We start from the raw sequence: 22,121 nt of genomic DNA on the forward strand, positions 1-22,121 counted from the left end.
GAGCTCGAACATCTCAACAGCAAAAAACAATCTGAATACTTTAAAGGCATCTCTACTCTGCTGTCAGCTTACATGCTTCTGAAGAGAGGTCTGCTGTCTTTCTTTGTTTTTCTGTAGACCCCCTTGCACCCACCATAGCTGCTTCTAAGATTTTCCACTGAATCCTAGCAATTACATTAGAATGCTACTTGGCATAATTTTCTTAAGTTTATTCTGCTTGGGGTTGTTGGATTTGTGGGTTTATGCTTTTCATCAAATTTAGGAAATTTGGACCATTATTTCAAACATTTTGTTTCTTGTTTCTCGTCTCTTCCTTGGACTACAATTACACGTATGTTAGACTGCTTGATATTGTCCTTTAGGTCACTGGTGCTCTTAATTTATTCTCAGTCATTTTTTCTGTCTCCTTTGTTTTGTCAGTTTTTAAAATTGCTATTTCTTTTCATTGATTGATACAGTTTTCTGCCGAGTATAACCTGCTGTTAATTCCATTTTTCAATTTTGTATTTTTTATTTTTAACAGTTCTAAGTATTTTTAAAATATTACAATGCTCATGTTTTTATCTTCTCGAAGACAGTGTACTGACAGGATAATGTATTTGTTTACTAATTGTGTCATAGATGTCATTTCTGGGTTTATTTCTCTTGATTTTTTTCTTTCTGTTACTGTTATTTCGTTTCCTTGCATATTGGTGATTTTTGAAAAATTTATTTTTATAAAAATTTTAGATTTATAAAGTACAAATATATTTCTCAGAATTCTCACATAATTTGCACCCATTTTCCCCTATTATTAACATTTTACATGAATATGGTGCATTTGTTGCAAATAATGAACCAATGTTGATACATTATTATTATTACTGTGGTTTTTTTTTTTTTTTCAGATGGAGTCTCGCTCTGTCGCCCAGGCTGGAGTGCAGTGGTGTGTGAGCTCTGCTCACTGCAACCTCTGTCTCCTGGGTTCAAGCGATTCTGCCTCAGCCTCCTGAGTAGCTGGGATTACAGGTGCCCACCACCATGCCCGGCTAATTTTTGTATTTTTAGTAGAGATGAGGTTTCACCATGTTGGCCAGGCTGGTCTCAAACTCCTGACCTCAGGTGATCCACCTGCCTCGGTCTCCCGAAGTGTTGGGATTACAGGTGTGGAGAAATATGAACACTTTTACACAGTTGCTGGGACTGTAAACTAGTTCAACCATTGTGGGAGACAGTGTGGTGATTCCTCAAGGATGTAGAACTAGAAATACCATTTGACCCAGCCATCCCATTACTGGGTATCTACCCAAAGGATTATAAATCATGCTGCTATACAGACACATGCACAGGTACGTTTATTGCGGCACTATTCACAATAGCAAAGACTTGGAACCAACCTAAATGTCCAACCATAGACTGGATTAAGAAAATGTGGCACATATACACCATGGAATACTATGCAGCCATAAGAAAGGATGAGTTCATGTCCTTTGTAGGGACATGGATGAAGCTGGAAACCATCATTCTCAGCAAACTATCGCAAGGACAAAAAACCAAACACCACATGTTCTCACTCATAGGTGGGAATTGAACAGTGAGAACACTTGAACACAGGAAGGGGAACATCACACCCTGGGGCCTGTCATGGGGTGTGGGTAGGGGGGAGGGATAGCATTAGGAGAAATACCTAATGTAAATGACGAGATAATGGGTGCAGCACACCAACATGGCACATGTATATATATGTAACAAACCTGCACGTTGTACACATGTACCCTAGAACTTAAAGTATAATAATAAAAAAAAACATTTTAAGATAATTTTGCAGTGCAGCTTACCTGGATACCTATTTAGTTGGGAGAAGGGTAAGACAAAAAAAAGGAGAGAAATATATCCATGTATGCAGTACTTTGTTCTTTTATTAAATAGTTCAGACATAAAATATGTAAAATACTCACATGCCACCACTTAGCTTAAGAAACAAATCATTGCTGACAAAATTATTTTTCTTTCATCCTATTTTTCCTCTTCCTCTGTCTGTGATATAGTTTTAATCAAATATTATGTAGATTATATCATTCTCTCTCTCTTTTTTTTTTTTTTTTTTTTTTTTGAGATGGAGTCATGCTCCGTCACCCGGGCTGGAGTTCAGTGGCTCAATCTCTGCTCGCTGCAACCTCCACCTCCTGGACTCAAGTGATTCTCCTGCCTCAGCCTCCTGAGTAGCTCAGACCACAGGTGTGCGCCACCGTGCCCAGCTAATTTTTGTATTTTTAGTGCAGATGGGGTTTCACTATGTTGGCCAGGCTGGTCTTGAACTCCTGACCTCAAGTGATCCACCCGTCTAGGCCTCCGAAAGTGCTGGAATCACAGGTGTGAACCACTGCACCTGACCTATATTGTATCATTCTCTACATAACGTTTTACAACTTTCTTTTGTGATTCGACCTTACCCTCGATTTATTCACATGGATATATTTAGCCCCAATTAATTTTAACTTTAGTCTTAACTGCTATATGGTATGCTAATGTTTGATTATTCATAATTTGTCCAGTCTTCTCATGCTGGCCATTTCAGTAGTTTTCCATTTCTGTTAAATGTAAAGCTGCCATGAACATTCTTACACATGTAAGGGACCATACCTAGGAGTGGAATTGCAGGATGATAGAGAATGCACAACCTCAACTTAGCCTTGCCAACTTGTTTTCCAAAGAGATTTCCCAATTTATACTCTACTGGCAGTTTGAGAGTGTTCCACTCTTCCTCTTCACTGCTATTGGCAGATTTTAGATTTAATGAACTTGATGACCAGCACTTTTGGAGGCCAAGGCTGGCGGAGCACCTGAGGTTGGGAGTTCGAGACCAGCCTGACTAACATGCAGAAACCCTGTCTCTACTAAAAATACAGAATTAGCCATGTGTGGTGGTGCATGCCTATAATCCCAGCTACTTGGGAGGCTGAGGCAGGAGAATCATTTGAACCCGGGAGGCAGAGGTTGTGGCGAGCAGAGCCAAGATTGCACTCCAGCCTGGGCAACAAAGAGCAAAACTCCGTCTCTAAATAAATAAATAAACAAATAAACAAACTTGATGAATGCAAAATGTCATCATTGTAATTGCATCATTTTGATTTTCAGTGAGGTTGAGTAGGTTTCACTGGCAATCCTCCTGAATTGCTTGGTCATATTCTTCAGTAGCACATTTTTCTTAAGAGTGAATATAAGCTGATCCATTTGAACACTTTGCTATTGTGAAAGTATCCTACCATTTCTTACTGTGAATATATTTTAGACTTGTGACATACTGTGTCTAAAGAATATATATATAACAATTTGGCTTTTCTTATCTGATTGTGAAAGACTTTGTCATTTTACACACTCAGTGTGCATTTCCATAGAAGATCTCAGGAGCTCCATACCAGGCACAGCCTGTGGGGGAAAGAGCACAGATTTTGGAGTTAGAGATCTGGATTGAAATCCTTGCTCTCCACTTATCAGTTCTGTAGCTTTGAACAGGCTGCTGTACTTCTTTGAGCCTTGGTCTCCTCCTCTCTGTCCTCATCTATAAATTGAGAACACCCCATCATCGTGAGGTTGAATCCGTTGTTGACCAAGTGTCCTGTATGATTTTTTGCTTAGAGCAAGCCTGCAGTAAATTGAAGTTGTTGTAATTAAGTAAAGGAAATATCTTGGGAAGTACATTTCCTTCTTTGCCTACTACCTGTTACCCATATAGAACTCCAAGCAGGGTTTCCTTGTAGTTAAAAGTGTGAAATAGGTGAGCATTGTGACTTTCAAAGGCATTATCACTACCTTATGTTCGTGAAGTCCTTTATACATTTCAAATCACTTCAGTATTTTGTCACATTATTTTTTTGTTTGCAGTAAATCTGAGAGGGAGGCAGGACAGGTATCCTTACTTATCCCCCACTTTTCCTGATGAGGAATATCCATGGTAGAGACACAAAAGGAAGCAATGTTTCCCCATTACTACTCTAGGGAGTTTTGTCTTTTATTGTTTTTGCTATTTGGTTTTTGATGTTTGAACTGATTTTTGCCCTTGAAGAACTTACTAGCAAAGTAGAGGAAAGCAACTTTTGGGCAGTTTGCACTTACGTTACTTACTTTTAAAGGATAAGGAATGTTTTGGGATAAAAAATATAAGAAAATTTAAGTATATTGAAATGTTTTCATTAGATGATGTATTCTTTGCCTGCAGGCTCTGCCAGACTTGCCTCTTTATCCCGAGACCTCACTTAAGGCACCTCATTCCCAGATTAGAATATATGTAAACTATATGCATTTTGAACACGTCTTCCTGTAGGCTCCCTCTGCACCTGCCTCCCCCATGCACCTGGTTTGTATTTGTTTGGTGTCCAATGTTCCCTGCTCCTCTCTTTGCCCTTCCCTCTTGGTCATCTTGGTTACACCTGTGCCCTCAGGACACAGGAGAGGTATCCCACAAGTGTGCTGAATGAATGGGTGTAAGTAAACTTTTTCCTTGGAAATAAATGTCAAGCAGGATATCTGCTTGACACCAAAATGGTCAATAAATTGAGCCAGAGTGTAATTGAAGTGTCTCATGCTTTGAAGCATCCACATTGACTTATTCTTGGTTTATTTTTATCAGACTTGTTGCTATCATATATGTATAAGCTCAGCAAGGAAGAGTCTAGGCTAGTAGTTTGTCTTAGCTGAATCTTTTTTCCATAAGAATAAGTAAAAGTGCTCAGTTACATTTTGTTTTTTCCCCCTTTATTCAGTACTATACCAGCTTAAAATAATACCAAAAAATCAGCCATAATGCTACTATTTTGTCTTTTGTTTTTCTAAATTCTTTCAGTTCTTCTGTCTGCGTGCATCTGTACATTTTATGCCATTATAATCATAGCATCTTTGTAAGTTCGTACCCTTTCCTTAGTATATCATCTTCCACACTTTTAATGACTAAATATTCTTGTATATAAATAATGTACCAAAGTGTATCTAACAAATTCCATGTTCTTGGACATTTAGATTAGTTTTCATTGCTGTCAGTGGTATTAAAGTGTTCCTCTCTGGTTTTTATTTTTTGTTGTGATTTATGCATGTGTGTATGTAGTTAAACATAGGGCAGTAGTAGATAGCACATGGAAAGTTAAGGGCACGCCGCTGGAGTTGGGCTCCCTGGGTTTGAATCCTGGCTCTGCTGCTTGTTGCATGGACTCCCCGGCAAATTATGGGACCTCTGTGTGCCTCCAGTCTTACAGGTAAAAGGTAGGAGGAAAGTTATAGCAGTTTATAAGGTTGTTGTGAAGATTAAATAGTATATGTAAAGAGTTTAGAACACTCATACAAAGTCTTGTGAAAACTTAGCTATTAAATAACCCAGGTTTGGGCAGGGATGTTGGATGGACTCCTAGGTAAAATAGAGTTGGCCCTAATTGTGCTGATAATTGAAGCTGGGTAACAGATACAAGAGGATTTGCTATACTATTCGTTCTACTTTTTATGTTGAAATTTTTATTCATTTATTTATTTTTTTGAGACAGGGTCTCATTCTGTAGCCCAGGCTGGGATGCAGTGGTACAATCATAGCTCACTGCAGCCTCAACCTCCTGGGCTCAACTGATCCTCCCACTTCAGCTTCCCAAGTAGCTGGGACTACAGGCATGTGCCAGCATGCCCAGACAGAAACTTTTTTCATAATAAAAATAAAAGCACATACAATGCAAAAACATTTTAGCTTTTATATTTATTTTTTGATTTCTGAATTTATTTCTTGAATGTGTTTCTAGAAGTGAGACCACAAAGTAGGAGATCTTACAACCATTTTTGAATACAGCCAAATTGTTTTTTTAAAGAATTGTGTAATATACAGTGTAATGCTCAATCTAAAACGGTTTTATCACAGTCTTAAACAACACTGAATATTATTACCATTACATGTTTTTCATATAATTTTATAGGTAAAATGGTACCTTACAGTTATTTTAATTTCTTCTTTTTTTTTTTTCTTTCTGAGACAGGGTCTTGCTCTTTCGCTCAGGCTGGAGTGCAGTGGCATGATGATAGGGTCTCTCTAGGTTGCCTAGGCTGGTCTCTTCCTGGCCTCATGTGATCCTCTCACCTTGGCCTCCAAAAGTGTTGGGATTACAGATGTTGGTTGGCCACTGCACCTGACCTAGAACGTATTTTTGATTAATGGTTGCTGTAAATATCTGATCAAGCCATGATAAACTGCTTTGAGGTGACAGCCACCACTGTTCTCATATAGCATCCCCCTCAGTGTGCAGTCATCTTCACTGTGGACCATATGCCACCGGAGGCTAGACTGCAGATGCCCCTTGCCAGTGAAATTTGACTTCGGTAAATTTTCAGATGAGTTTTGGAAGAGCAGGGAAACTACAATTCTGCTTTAAGGTGTTCTGTTTTTATATAGTGAATATATTTATATTTGTTTTTTTTCTTTATCATTTCCCACTTTTCATGATACAAATCACAATTGCAAATTCCAATACAGTGTATGATCACCACTTCTCTCTGTAGCTTTTGAGATATGGTCAACTATTTATCATAAAGATGCTGAATAATCTGATTTTTTTTGTTTTACTAATTTGTTTTTTGAGTCTCCTCTTGGTGCATTTCTTTTACAATCCTTTTAAAAAATGTAGGATGCTAAGCCTAATATTGTGTAGTGGTTTACATAAATTTTATAGTTTTCTACGTTCAAACCTATAATTTGTGAGTGATACCTTTTTACTATGGTTTCTGATGTACTTGAGCCATGTTTTATGCCATCTTCTGAGTAACCATAGGGACTGAGTGGCGACAGTGTATGAAGCCCTTTATTATTCTATATTCCCATTTATTACTTGACAAGTGGCACCAGAGGCATAAAATTGTTTTATTTGTCAGATTTGCATAAGAACTTTCTTACAAAAAGCTTTTATGGTACGTAACACATCCATAAATTCTCATAATCGTCCTTTTGAGGTACTTCTTGTAGTTTTACTGTTGTTCTTCCTTTTTCATTATTTGAGAAACTTTTAAAATAAGAAATATTTGTCATGATGAAAAGATCCTACCAATTATTTGAAAGAACCATTGAAAATTGAACATAAGGTCTCCTTTTTCTTTTTGCTTTTTTTAGAAAACAAACTCTTTAGAAAATTTTTTAGAAAACAAAATCTTTAGAAAAGTTAAAATAAAATTAAAGCCTGACTTTGTGATGAAATTAGTTGGTTAAATTTGGATGCTGGTTATCAGACTTAAAAAAAAAAAAAAGTACCTTTTGAAAGATCTGAGACTTACTTATGACCAAGAAAAAATAGTTCTAAAACTTTTGTATAAAAAGTAGCATGTAAGTTGTGTCTATGAATGTGTATCTGTGGGTGTGTTGTATCTGTTTTATAAAACTTGAATAGAGCATCTATAAAAACAGTTCTCAAGAGTGTTTGTACTGATAACAGATAAATACAGATAGGGATATAAACATCATGGTTAAATAAATAGCAAAAAAGATCAGCTTTTGAATTTTTCTTTTTTTTTAAATTTTTTTTAGTATTTATTGATCATTCTTGGGTGTTTCTCGGAGAGGGGGATTTGGCAGGGTCATAGGACAATAGTGGAGAGAAGGTCAGCAGATAAACATGTGAACAAAGGTCTCTGGTTTTCCTAGGCAGAGGACCCTGTGGCCTTCCCCAGTGTTTGTGTCCCTGGGTACTTGAGATTAGGTATTGGTGATGACTCTTAACGAGCATGCTGCCTTCAAGCATCTGTTTAACAAAGCACATCTTGCACTGCCCTTAATCCATTTAACCCTGAGTTGACACAGCACATGTTTCAGAGAGCATGGGGTTGGGGGTAAGGTTATATATTAACAGCATCCCAAGGCAGAAGAATTTTTCTTAGTACAGAACGAAATGGAGTCTCCTATGTTTACTTCTTTCTACACAGACACAGTAACAATCTGATCTCTCTTTCTTTTCCCCACATTTCCCCCTTTTCTATTCGACAAAACCGCCATCGTCATCATGGCCCGTTCTCAATGAGCTGTTGGGTACACCTCCCAGACGGGGTGGCGGCCGGGCAGAGGGGCTTCTCACTTCCCAGACGTGGTGGCTGGGCAGAGGGGCCCCCCACCCCCCAGAGGGGGCGGCCAGGCAGAGGCGCCCCTGCCTTCCAGATGGGGCGGCTGCTGGGCGGGGGCGCCCCCTGCCTCCCAGACGGGGCGGCGGCCGGGCGGAGGCGCTCCTCACCTCCCAGATGGGGCGGCCGGGCAGAGGCGCTCCCCACATCCCAGACGATGGGCGGCCAGGCAGAGACGCTCCTCACTTCCTAGACGGGGTGGTGGCCGGGCAGAGGCTGCAATCTCCGCACTTTGGGAGGCCAAGGCAGGCAGCTGGGAGGTGGAGGTTCACACCACTGTACTCCAGCCTGGGCAGCATTGAGCACTGAGTGAGCGAGACTCCGTCTGCAATCCCGGCGCCTCGGGAGGCCGAGGTGGGCAGATCACTCGAGGTCAGGAGCTGGAGACCAGCCGGGCCAACACGGCGAAACCCCTTCTCCACCAAAAAATACAAAAACCAGTCAGGCGTGACAGCGCGCGCCTGCAATCCCAGGCACTCGGCAGGCTGAGGCAGGAGAATCAGGCAGGGAGGTTGCAGTGAGCCGAGATCGCGGCAGTACAGTCCAGCCTCGGCAACAGAGGGGGACCGTGGAAAGTGAGAGATGGAGACGAGGGAGAGGGGAAGACCGTGGAAAGCAGGAGACGGGAGAGGGAGAGGGAGAGCTTGAGCTTGAATTTTTCAAAATGTTGATTTTTGTCACCTTAGGAAAGATGTGTTACTTGTTATACATCCAGCATGGTTAAGTCCTAGTGTCAAGTGAGCCAGGACTATAGTCACAGATATACTTACCTCTCCTTGCAACTTTAGCTGTATTATAAAACTTGGGGGTGATAACATTTACAAATAGACTTGTTCATGTATTAGTAGTAAATTCAGAGTACTTTTCCACTGTGATATGTGCTTTCTGCCCTAAGTATATACAATCTTTTCAGATTTATCTATGAGCTATCTTGCTAATTGTTTCACCCACATTCTATAGCCTTTCCCTCCTGTTGATGCAACTCTTCCTCTTCCAGATTTCATGCTGAACCTAATGCAGCATTTGACTGGCTTCCTACCCATTCCCATAGTGTCTGCAAGTAAACATCAGTCAAACTCTCTGCCTTCTTGGTCTCCACTACTGGTTGCTATGGGCTTTCTATACCATCTTTCCTTTCCTGGACTGGGCTCCTGAAGGTCAGCAGCCTCCCTGACCTCGGTGCTATAATAAGTTGCCTTCTCTTCTGCTTGCACACAACATCTCTCTACTTTATTCAAACAATTACCTGGTTTGCATTGTCTCACTTTTTCTGACCAAGTTTTCTTGATCATTTAAAAATTTCCTTGGGGTTCAAGCCAGTTCACAAGCTAGACCTGATTTAAAATGAATAATTTAAGGAAATCTGGAGAACGAACTAATAGTAGATTTTTCACCCTGGTCTACATTTTTCTGAGACGGAGTCTCGCTCCGTCGCCCAGGCTGGAGTGCGGTGGCATGATCTTGGCTCACTGCAAACTCCGCCTCCTGGGTTCACGCCATTCTCCTGCCTCAGCCTCCTGAGTAGCTGGGACTACAGGTGCCCGCTACCACGGCCGGCTAATTTTTTTGTATTTTTAGTAGAGACAGGGTTTCACCATGTTAGCCAGGATGGTCTCGATCTCGTGACTTTGTGATTCGTCCACCTTGGCCTCCGAAAGTAAAGTGCTGGGATTACAGGTGTGAGCCACTGCGCCCGGCCGCTCCGGTCTACATTTTATATCTCTACTCTTAAGAGGCAGTATGGTACAAGGTTAAAAGTAAGGGACTTCTGAGCCAGATTATCTTCATTTTAATCCTGGTTCTACCAGTTATTTCTGTGTGACCTTGGGCAAGTTATGTAACTTCTCTGTGCCTCAGATTGTTTATAAGGGAGATAATAAAAATCCTTACAGCATATAGAGTTGGTGAAGTTAAATGTGGTGAAAGTTAAATGAATAAATAAAGCATCCACACTAGTACATGACCCAAATTAAGTGTCATATAAGTGTTGCCGCATTGCAGTTCTCCTCAGTGACGGCCTGTGACCTGCCATTTCTGTCGGCTCTTACCAAGGCTCGGTGCCGCCCCGGGCCTCTGCTCCATTGTCATAGTAATGTTTGCACTCTGCTAGTCACCTGTAAATATACATATTTAGGATCCTAAAACCAATATCCTAAAATATGTATATTAGCAGATGATGACAAAAACACCAGAATTTTTATCAAAGAGAAAGTAGAAAGTATATGGGTTAATATTGTAAGGATTAGGATACACCTGTCAAATTACTCTAGGTTGGCTTAGAAACAAAGCAAAACAAATTGGGTCCCATCCACTATTTTTTGGCATTCTGAAAATAACTAGCTCTTACCTGATGAGGTCATTCATTCATGACCTGACCATCCAGGTCCTATCTGGCAATAATAGCTTTTTGCAAAAAGCAACTCTTGCCTAAGTGGAGATTTACATCTTGATGAGTTTTGTATGAAAGTAAAGAAGATGCAGGAACATTATCAGTGGGGCGTACACTAACCATTGGCATTTCTGAGCAACGTGTTGCGTAGTTGTGTGATTTGGCAGCAGCTGGTCCATTGCTGACACGTGTGTGTGTTCACTGAGGCTTCACTCACACCTAAGGCTTCCTTGGAGAGACCATGCTGCCATTACATTTGGATCACTACCTGCCCCCAACACACACACACACACACACACACACACACACACACACACGAACCAACTTTCCAAGCACCACACCCACCTTTTCCGGGCTCTGTACCAGATCTGGAGGGGTGATGGCTAGAAGTGAGGGTTTTTGCTCCATCATGAGTAGCAGCTGGAAGTGGGCCTGTGCCCAGCTCTGGTGGCAGTGGGCCACCTGTGGCTGGTGCCAAGCTCACTGATGGAGATCTCTCATTATGTACCTACATCAATGATCAGTAAAGAACAAGCCATAAGAAACTTTTGGGTCTCTGGGAATGTTATCTTTTTACTCCTCATATAACTTCATGGTGAACTGTTTTGAAATTTGACATTAATTTAGAATTTCTTGCCTGTTCTGATCTCTAGTAGGATTCTAGGCTGGATGTCTTTGGAATTGAAATACTTGTTGGCTTCTGGTTATTTTGGGGGTAATCCATAACAGTCTACCATTCCTGGTGTTTGGTTTTAGTGGGCTGTGAAAAAAATCATTTGTTCAACACTGATGTCGTGATACAAGGACGTGAAGATGTGAGTCATTGTGACATCACCAGCCAGAATTGCTGGGATTCAGTGAGATGACTCACAGTAAGAGGTCAGTGTCTGGTTCAGTAGTTCCTTCTTCCACATGTATCCCTCAGTATCTAGAACCCTGAAATTGGTTTCTCTAAGAAAACCAAGAGGCCCATAAGGGTAATGTATACTGTTGATTTTTATGGTTATTTTTCAAAAACTAATATTTTAAACATATCAAAATTATTTCAAATGGTAATGTACTCAATGTACCATTTGGTTTAAGATGTTAACATTTTGCCATATATGTCATAAAGTCTTTTCATGAAGAAATCAAACCTTACAAATATACTGGTAAGACCCCCCTCCTGCCCATCATGCCCCCATCCCTTCCGTTATGTTGTTGAGGTGGTGTATGTTCTTCCCTTCAGCTTTTTAACTTTTACTACATATCTGTGCATTCATAAATAACATGTAGTGTTTTTTGCGTGTTATGTAGTGTGTCCTTTTGCAACCCATGTTTTCCACCCATCCATTTTGAATTGATCTATGTTGATGCAGGTGTATACAAAACTCATACAGCTAATTTCTTTTAGTTGTTGTATAGGATTTTACTGTAGGAAATATGCCATCATTTATTTAGATACTTTGTAACTTAATTATCACAAAACACTTTGTGGTATTTTTAACTCAGTTTCAGAGAACATATTCAAACCTAGGTTTATCCAATTCCATCATGCTTTCTATAAACATTTGGAAAATAAAGTTGGGAAAGTGAGCTTGCAGGCTGCCTCCTAGCATATCTCTGGGGTCTTCGTGTAAGGGAAATTGTTGGCTGTGTGCCCCACTGGCCTGGGGTGGCAAGACCAGGGCAGCCCTGTCTTCGTCAGTGGGTCTGCACTGCAGGAAGACCCCTGGGTCTTCAGAGGGTGCTGGTCAGCTACTTGGGACATTGGCTCAAGGGAAATACAAGATCCTTTTTTTTTAAATGAACAATGCAGTAAATCTGTGATATATTTGAGGCTCAAGAAGGATTGAGTTACAGGGAGAAGTTTCAAAGGAAGTGTAAGACATGGACCCAGCCTGTAAGAAACTTAAAGTGTAGCAGGGGAGACAAAACTAACATAGAACAATTGCATGCTACACAGCTTGGTATACACTCTACTGCACCCCTTGTTACCTTTGGCAAAAATGAGATATTCTGTGTTTTTCTTTGCACCTTGATTTCTCACCCAACAATACTTAGTGGAGGTCCTTTCAAAGCACCTAGTATAGAACAAATTCATTTTTCAAAGGGTGTATAATGTTCCACTTTATGGACATAGAATAACTTATTTGTCCAGTCTCTTATAAATGGGTCATCTTTTGTTTTGTTTTGTTGTAAACTGCTGAAAACTGTAGTAATGTCCTATGTGTCTTTGTGTGTATCTATTTTTATTTTTTTAATTTTTATTTTAGGTTTGGGGGTACGTGTGAAGGTTTGTCACACAGATAAATATGAGTCACAGGAGTTTGTTGTACATAGTATTACATCACCCAGGTAATACGCTCAATACCCAATAGTTACCTTTTCTGCTCCTCTCACCCTCCCGCTTCAGGTAGACCCCAGGGTCTGTTGTTTCCTTCTTTGTGTTCCTAAGTTCTTCTCATTTAGCTTCCTCTTATAAAAGAGAACATGCGGTATTTGATTTTGTGTTCCTGCATTAGATTGCTAAAGATGATAGCCTCCAGTTCCATCCATGTTCCCGCACAAGACCTGATCTCTTTCTTTTTTATGGCTGCATAATATTTCATAGTGTATATGTACCACATTTTCTTTATCCAGTCTGTCATTGATGGACATTTAGGTTGATTCCATGTCTTTGCTATTATGAACAGTCCTGCAGTGAACATTCACATGCATGTGTGTTTATGGTAGAATGGTTTATATTCCTCTGGGTATATACCCAGTAATGGGATTCCTGGGTCAAATAGCAGTTCTGGTTTTAGCTCTTTGTGGAATTGCCATACTGCTTTCCACAATCGTTGAACAAATTTATCCCACCAACAGTGTATAAAGGTTCCCTTTGTGACCTTGCCAGCATCTATTATTTTTTTGGCTTTTTAATAATGGCCATTCTGACTGGTGTGAGATGGCCTCTCTTTGTGGTTTTGATATGCTTGTTGGCCACATGTATGTCTTCTTTTGAGAAGTGTCTGTTTATGTCTTTTGCTCAATTTTTAATGGGGTTGTTTATTTTTCTCTTGTAAATGTGTTTAAGTTCTTTATGGATGCTGGATATTAGACCTTTGTCAGATACATAGTTTGCAAATATTTTCTCCCATTCTGTGCCTTTTAAGTGGGGCATTTAGCCTGTTTACATTCAAGGTTAGTATTGATATGTGTGGATTTGATCCTGACATTGTGCTGTTTGATCATATCATTGATCCTGTCAGCTGGTGCTGTCACTGATCCTGTCATTAGCTGGTTATTATGTTGGCTTGTTTGTGTGGTTGCTTTACAGTGACACTAGTCTGTGTGTTTAAGTGTATTTTTGTATCAGCTGGTAGCGGTCTTTCCTTTCTATATTTACTGTTCCTTCCAAGATCTCTTATAAGGCAGGTCTGGTAATGAAGTTCCTCAACATTTGCTTACCTGAAAAGGATCTTGTTTCTCCTTCACTTAGGAAGCTTAGTTTGGCAGGATATGAAATTATTGGTTGAAGATTTTTTTTTTTTTTTTAAAGAATGTTGAATATAGGCCTCTAATCTCTTCTGGCTTGTAGGGTTTCACTGTTAGCCTAAGGGGATCCCTTTGTAAGTGACCTGCCCTTTCTCTCTAGCTGCCTTTAACATTCTTTCATTTCAACGTTGGAAAACCTGACAATTATGTGTCTTGAAGATGATCTTCTTGTGTAGAATCTTGCAGGAGTTCCCTGTATTTCCTGAGTTTGACTGTAGGTCCCTCTAGTAAGGTTAGGGAAGTTTTCAGGGATGATATCTAGGAATATATTTTCCAAGTTGTTTGCTTTCTCTCTCCCTTTCAGGGATGCCAGTGATTTGTAGATTTGGCCTCTTTACATAATCCATTCTTCTCTGAGGTTTTATTCATTTTTATTTATTTTTTCATTTTTGTCTGACTGTCCTATTTCAGAGAACCAGTCTTCAAGTTCTGAGATTCTTTCCTCAGTTAGGTTTATTCAGCTGTTAATACTTGTGATTGCATTGTAAATTTTTTTTTTTTCCCTGAGACGGAATCTCGCTCTGTCACCCAGGCTGGAGTGCAGTGGAACAATCTCCGCTCACTGCAGTCTCTGCCTCCCAGGTTCAAGCGATTCTCCTACCTCAGCCTCCTGAGTAGCTGGGACTACAGGTGCCTGCCACTATGCCTGGCTAATTTTTGTATTTTTAGTAGAGACGGGGTTTCACCATGTTGGCCAGGCTGTCCTGAAATTCCTGACCTCAGGCAATCCATCTGCCTCAGCCTCCCAAAGTGCTGGGATTACTGGAGTGAGCTACTGTGCCCGGTCATAAAATTATCATATTGCATTATTTAGCTCTGTCAGACCCGTTAGGTTTTTTTTTATGCTGGCTATTCTATCCTTCAGCTTCTATATCATTTTACTGTGATTGTTCTTTTCCTTAGATTTGGTTTCAACATCCTCCTGAATCTCAGTGATCTTTGTTCCTATCCATATTCTGTATTCCAGCCAGTTCTGCCTGGTTACAAACTCTTATTGGAGAACTGGTGTGGCCATTTGGAGGGCGTATGACACTCTGGCCATCTGAGTGTTATCAGAGTTCTTGCTGGTTCTTTCTCATCTGAGTGTGGGTGTTCCTTTAATGTAGATTGAGTACGGTCAACAGACTTCTTTTCTGGATGTTTTCACTGGGCTGATGCTTTATGTAGGGTCTTTATTTGAAGCTTACTTGTTGTCTCTGGTTTCAGAGGGGGGTATGTTAATGAGGTGTTTTTGGTATTGAAGCTTTGGGGTGTGATCCAGTAGGTGGCGCTTAGGTGAATTGGTCAGTTGCTAGACTCTTGTTTGGTTGCGTGGCTCCCCTGTTTCCTCACAGTTTCCGTCATGCTCCCTTTCAGTGCTCTGAAACTGTGTGTTCCTCTCCCACTTGAGTGCTGGCTCTCCTTGGCACTCCTGGGATGCCCACTGCAGCTCTGGGGTGATCTCAGTGTTTATGTTCCTTTCTCAGCTTAGAGGCAGCAGAGGAAGAGATCTTAGCAGGGGTTGTGGCCGGGGGTTATTTGCTTGCTCCACCTCAGAGAGATGTGGGTCAGCAATCACTTGGTGCAGTCAGCCCAAGATGTAGGGTTTGTGCTGTGTGCCCAAGCCAGGGGTTCCCTGTCTGGTGATGAGCCATGCTGGGGAGAGTGGGTGTGGGACCTGTAGGAGACAGACTGGCTGCCTCTCCTTGGGTCGACTGTAGCTTATTGGAGGTGTAGATAAGGTACTCTTAGAGTCTTTGCTCCTTTGTTAGTTTGAAGGTGGCAAGGGCAGTTCCACTGCTGAGATAGTGGCAGAGAGGCTTTCAGTTGCCCCTGGAGGCTCTGTTCGGGGAGTTGCTGAGTTGGTACTGGCTCCACAGCTCTGGCGGGGGTGGCTGGAGGCCCAGGCCTGGAGGACCTGTCCAGTGAGGAGATATGGACAAGTCTGCCCACTTTTCCATAGGGCTGCTGTGGTATGCTTGGGGCCTGCTCCAGTCCCTAGTCACCTCAGATTTTCCAGAACCTGGAGGTGTCACCAGTGAAGGCTGAGAAACAGCAAATATGGCAGCCTGTCCCTCCCTCTGGGAGCTTCGTCCCAGGGAGGTATGGACCTGGTGTCGGCCCAAAGGCACCTGTAGGAAGTGACTGGAGACCCTGGTTGGGAGGTCCCGGCCAGTGAGGAGGAACGGGATTGGGACCCACTTAAAAAAGTGGCCACATTTTGGGAGAGCAGTTGTGCTGTGCTAGGGGTCCGCTTCAGCCCCTGATCGCCTCGGATACTATGAGGCTCAAAGGCTGGAACAGCTAAGGCACCTGAACAGTAAAGATGGTGGCCTACCTCTCCCTCTGGGAGTGCCATCCCAGGGGAAATTCAATGTCCATCTGTCAGATGGACAGCTCGGGCAGGGGTGGCTAGAGGCCCCAGTTGGAAGGTCCTGCCCAGTGAGGGAACGGGATAGGTACCTGCTTAAAGCAGCTGTCCGGCCACGTTTCGGTAGAGCAGCTATGCTGTACTGGGGGATCCCTTCTGCCCTGTGTTGGCTCGGACTCTCCAAAGCCTGAAAGCTAGAATGGCTAAGGTGCCCAAACAGCAAAGCTGGTGGCCTGCCCCTCCCCCTGGGAGCTCCTTCTTAGGGTGGTGCAATGCCGCTACTGGTAGCTGGCTGGAATTCCAAGCCAGTGGGTCTTATCTCGTGAGGTGCAGTGGAAGTGGGGGCTGTTGCTGCTTAGCTGCCTGGATTCATCCTCTTTCCTAAGTGTATGTACAGGAGTCTAACCTCTCACTTTGCCAGAGCTACGGCTACTTTTGCTGGAAAGCCTGAGTAGCTAAGGCTCCAGGGTCTCCACGCGTGCCTGAGCGGCTGCTCTGCCAAGACTCCACGCTGCTCTGTCAGAATGAAGACTGAAGGCACTGGTAGAGAGGGGTTTACGTGGAGAGCTCCTGACCTGAGGTTTGCAAAGATCTGTGGGAGAAGCATGGTTTCTGGGTCGCTCATTCGGTCATTGCTTCTCTGGGCAGGGGAGTATCCCCTGGCTCCGTGCTGACCCCCGGGGGGCCATTGTCCTGTCTTGCTTTTCTTTGTTCTCTGTGGGTCAGGTTGTTTCCTTGATTAGTCCCAGTGCGAGTATCTGGCTGTTTCAGTTGAAGGTGTTGTATTCACTCGCCCCTTCTGTTCCTCTCCGTGAGAGTCAGGTACACCAGCTGCTTCTAGTCAGCCATCTTGGCCACTCACTCTTGTGTGTATTTATGCTCTGATTTCTGCAGAAGTTTCCAGGGGTGGGATGGTGAGACAGGGATATGTGTATTTTTAATTTTAATAGATGCTTCCATATTGCCCTCTAAAAAGGCGATAATTCATATTTCACTACAACTGGCACATGAGAATATCCTCTCCCTATCTTGTGAACTCCAATAGTTATGAAATTTCTTTTTCAGTTTCTGACTGGATATAAAGTTATACCCCATTGTTACCAATTTCTGTGAGCACTAGGGGATGATATGAGCATCTTTCCAGATATTACCTTGGCAATTTGTTTTTGCTCTTTTGTGTGCTGCTCATCTTTTGCTAGGTTTGTTACTAACCTTGGGCCTTTATTCCTGGTTAGTTTCTGAGGGCTGTTTATACAGCATAGGTGTCAACCCTTTGTCATCTATGTTCCACATACTTGGATCAGATAGAGCATTTGTCTCTTGGCTTTGTTAGTCACTGAAGGATTACAGAAGCAAACTGAGTTCCAGCAGGTCAAATACAACCTTATTAGTTTGATATGTTAAGCAGCCCTTTGGAAGGGTCAGTGGGGGTGGTATGATATTGATGGGCATGGTACAATATATGCTTGTTGAAGACTGTGGTAGCTCACACATCAGCTGAATTTTGTATCTCTTTAGCTTTTCAGGGGTTCTTTAAGCAACAGGGAGGTATGCTCATATGTGTGCCTTATGCTCAGAAAAATAGCTCGATCACCAAGCAGCTGTAATCCACTCGACTGGTCTCTCTTCCTTATGGAAACTGGGTCCTGAAGTTCGGTGTCATTCTTTTTTTTAGAAATCATGCCACCCTCAAAGCCTCATCCACCTGTCGTGGGCAAAGTGACTCATCACAGCATTGAATTATACTGGGATCTGGAAAAGAAAGCCAAACGCCAAGGACCTCAAGAGCAGTGGTTCAGGTTCTCGATTGAAGAAGAAGACCCCAAAATGCACACTTATGGTATCATTTATACGTAGGTGCAGTGTTGAATTGCTTGCCACTTTGCCTTACTTCCTGATTAGCTGGAATGATTTCTGTTGTCTCTAAAAAGCCACTGCTTGTTTCAAATTAAAGAATGAGTCAGCATCATTTGTATTCATGCTCTTTTATGAATTACAATTTTTGGAAAATAGGCATTAGCAGTAACTTTGAAATTAAACCTCTGTACCTTTGAGAGCTTCTTTGACTTCTGAAATATTTTAATGATATGTATTTAAAATCCAGAATGTAGAGACAGACTCAAACAATAGCTTGATGCAATTAGGTGAGCTTCCCATCAGGCTGTTGTGTTCACTGACGTGGAATGGCCCCGCATGGTCTACCCTGGCTAGCTTCTCTGATCTCATGTCATACCATTGTCCCCTTGTCAACTCTCTTATACCACGCTGGCTGCCTCTCAGCCTGGACAGGCCAAGCTGGTTCCCATCGCAGGATCTTGCTCGTTGCTGTGGTCTTGAATACATTTCCTTCTGTTTTTATACAGCTGGTTCCTTCACACCATGCCAATCTCAGATGAAACATCCCCCCGCCCCCAGAAGGCCATCTGAAGTAGCCATCCTTTCATGCAGGCCTCCTGTAGCTCAGAACCTTGTTTTGTATGCCACATAGCATTTAGCTCTGTTGGGCTTATTTTACTTGTTTACTTGTTTGCTTAGTTTGTTTACCTTGTTGTTTACTTGTTTACTTCTTGTTCCTTTCCTGCCTCCTCACCCAGTATTAAACTCAGTGAGAGACAAATAAGACTTCTGCCTGCTTAACGCTCTAGCCGGTTCCTTGACAGTGCTGGCTGTTATATAGCAGGCCTTCCAAATGCTTCTGGCATGAACCAATACCACCAGGAGTAATGAAGAAGTCACTTTTGGCCAGGCATGGTGGCTCATGCCTGTAATCTCAGCACTGTGGGAGGCTGAAGTGGGCAGATCCCTTGAACCTGGATGTTCAAGACCAGCCTAGGCAACATAGTGAAATCCCATCTCTACAAAAAATCCAAAAGTTAGCCAGGTGTGGTGGCTTATGCCTGTAGTCCCGGGCTGAGGTGGGAGGATCACTTGAGCCTGGGAGGTCGAGGCTGCAGTGAGCCATGATTGTGCCACTGCACTCCAGCCTGGGTGACAGAGTGAGACCCTGTCTCAAAAAAAAAAAAAAAAAAAGTTATGTTTTTCTTCTTAGTCTTCATATCATCTCTGACTTATTTCTTCCCCTTGATAGATTTACCACTTGAAAAATGCAAAATGACTATTTTGTGATTCAGGAATACCAAAAATGAGATACAAATATGGTTTTTAGTGAAACTTTTAATTTTGAAATAATTATAGATTCATATCCAGTTGTAAGAAAGAGTGATTGTACCTTTTCCCATTTCTCCCCTATGGTAACATCTTTGAAAATAATAGTGCAGTGTCACAGTCAGGATATTGGCATTGATGCAGTCAAGATGCAGAACAGGTTCATCACTTTCCTGGCCTTTTCTCAAGTTTGCATTGTGATAAAAGTGCTGACATGAGAAGATAGATATGTTTATGTGTATGTGTGTATAAATATCTATAAATATGTATATAATCTGTATATGAAAGCTCCAATTTCAACTGTTACTTGAGTGATAATATATCTGATATTTGAGAAATTTCTCTGTACCTTAAGAAAAATCTGAAATGTAGTTGCAATGTAAAAATAGTTCTTGTTCTGACTACTCAAATGTTATTTTAATCATGTCGTTTTACTTATTGAAGGTATGCTTTTTCTATCTAAAAGCATGAATTATGAGAAACATTTCTCTTGAGAAAGAAAAAGACATCTTTCTTTCCCCCATCACCTTAGCACCACAAGCTGTGTTGGGCAGGTGAATGGGGCCATCCTGCATCGTTCTTTCTTCCTTGGCTGTGCCTTTGCTGGGTGGCCAGGTAGGCAGCCTCAGCTAGAGAAACCATAGCTGCGTGTGCTGGCTTCCAGCCTGAGGTGTGTGTCTGTGTTGTCTGCATTCTCCCCAGAGACCTGGTTGCTGTCAGGCTGGAGAACGCACTCTCACTCTGACGACAGCCTGGCATTGTGGGGCTGGCAGTGACATCTGTGGTCCCTGCTCTAAGGACAGTGGGGAAATGCCTGCGTTTCTCACAGAATTACAAGTACAAATCTTGACGCTAGGTGGCAGAATTAGGCTGCATTAATCTTGACCTCTTTTGCTTCCTTATTTCTTTCTCTACATAGCATTAAAACTAGCAAATGCTTTTCTTGTAAAAAGTGGTTATCTAGAATACCTGATGTTTGGATTGTGGATTTAAGAACTTCTTCCTGATTTGTCAGTTTCTGTTCCCATCAGTCATCAGTCTATCTGGAAACAATGATATTGTCTTTGACTTGGGCTTTCCTCCATGGCTTCTCATAGCCAGTCAGTTACTGAGTTCTCCATTTGTAGAATTGCTTCTGTGCTTTCCCTCTTTAGCTGCGTTTTCCCCTGCAGGATGTAGGCTTTATTTCTGTCTAGCTCATTTGTGGATCCCCAGCTCCTACACCTGCCCAGTGTATTTTCTGATGGAAGGAGTTGACTTTATTCCTTTTTTTTTTTTCTCATCATTCTATCTTGCTGGGCTAATTTCCATTTTAATCTTTCTTTTGTCACATTGTCTTTGGTGGGTCCTCCATTGCTTAAAGGATAAAGGCCAAATTCCTTAGACTAACATTTAATGTCTTTCACAGTTTCCCTACACCTGCCTTTCTTGTTGCCTCTTATTTCTCAGCACAAACCCTCCAGTCAGATTTCTTACTGTCCTTTGAATATGCCTTGACGTTTTCTGCATGTGTGTTCAGTTGTTTTCCCTGTTTGGACAGATTTTCCCCTCTCACCCTATTCTTTCTTCTGCCCTGGTCAGATTTTACCTCCACTGAGAAGCTCTCCTTACTACCCTATTGTCTGTGCCCTAAATTCCTGTGATCGTTGCTGCCCATGCCACGCATTCCATTTATTCCATCAGCGTGTATTATTGAGTGTCTGCCGTGTGTCAGACACTGCTCCGGATGCTGGGGATACGGCACTGGGAAAAAATTCCTCCCTCATGATGATGAAGGCAAACAATAAATAAGATACATAAGTAAAAATAGGTAGTCAGCAGGCAATACATACTGAGGGGCAGCAGCATAGGAAAAATTGAGGGCCTGGGGTAGAGGTGGGGAAGTCTTCACCAAGAAGGTAGCTTCTGAGTAGATCTGAAGCAAGGATACCTGGAGCCTTGCAACTATCTGGGGGAAGAACCTTCCAGACATAGCAAAGGGCAGGTGAGAAAGCCTGGCAGTACAAATGTACCTGGCTGGTCCCAGGAGCATTGAGGAACAGAGGGAACAAGGAGGAAAATAATGGGGGCGAGGGCAGCTGGGTCATGAGAGGTCACTGCCTGGGCCTTGAGGGTTATTGGGAGAACTCTGGCTTACTCTGAGAGAGGCGGGGAAAGCCACTGGAGATTGTGAAGCTGAGAAGAGGTGTGATCCGGCTTATGTTTTACGAGGATCCCTCTGGCTGCTGAGTTGGGAACAGGCTGTAGGGAGGCCAGGCAGCAAGCAGCAGGGAGGACTGATGAAGAAGCTTTTGAAACAGTTTAGGTGGGAGACAACACAACAGTGTGGAAAGTGGGAGGATGCAGGATATGCTTTAAAGATGGATTTAAGAACTTGGTGGTGGACCGAATATGGGATGTGAGATACGGGATGTGAGAGAGAGGATGGTCAAGGGATATGTGGTAGCCAGCACAGGCCCAGTGATGCTGCTGGAAGCATCAGCGTCACAGTCTCAGTGGCTTATGGCAGCAGTGATTCCCTCCTACACACCATGCCCACCGTGGGTCGGCCAGGGCTCCATCCTGCATTGTCCTCCTGCCACAGCCCAG

At 42.3% G+C, this 22,121-nt stretch overlaps 1 protein-coding gene and 1 long non-coding RNA gene across 4 annotated transcripts in view, besides 1 other annotated feature; one reads left to right on the forward strand and one right to left on the reverse strand.

Moving 5' to 3' along the window:
- The window catches only part of FANK1 (fibronectin type III and ankyrin repeat domains 1), a 113,029-nt gene that overhangs the window by 65,555 nt on the left and 25,353 nt on the right, over window positions 1-22,121 (forward strand). For all 3 annotated transcript variants that reach the window (NM_001350939.2, NM_145235.5, NM_001363549.2), the window contains exon 2: window positions 18,043-18,220. In NM_001350939.2, coding sequence (NP_001337868.1) covers window positions 18,043-18,220 — 178 coding nt within the window. The remainder of the gene's footprint in view (window positions 1-18,042; window positions 18,221-22,121) is intronic.
- On the reverse strand, window positions 10,070-11,155 carry FANK1-AS1 (FANK1 antisense RNA 1). Its single transcript, NR_102707.1, has 4 exons — window positions 11,136-11,155; window positions 10,844-11,006; window positions 10,619-10,727; window positions 10,070-10,223 (listed from the first exon to the last, which is right to left on the reverse strand). It is a non-coding gene; the product is annotated as an FANK1 antisense RNA 1 (long non-coding RNA).
- Window positions 20,293-20,342: a silencer, noted in NCBI's record as "silent region_2929". NCBI's record gives its function as "represses an Ori minimal core promoter by ATAC-STARR-seq in GM12878 lymphoblastoid cells {active_cell/tissue: GM12878}" and the evidence as "EXISTENCE:reporter gene assay evidence [ECO:0000049][PMID:35858748]".

This window comes from Homo sapiens, chromosome 10 (genome assembly GCF_000001405.40).
Source record: "Homo sapiens chromosome 10, GRCh38.p14 Primary Assembly".
NCBI lineage: Eukaryota > Metazoa > Chordata > Mammalia > Primates > Hominidae > Homo > Homo sapiens.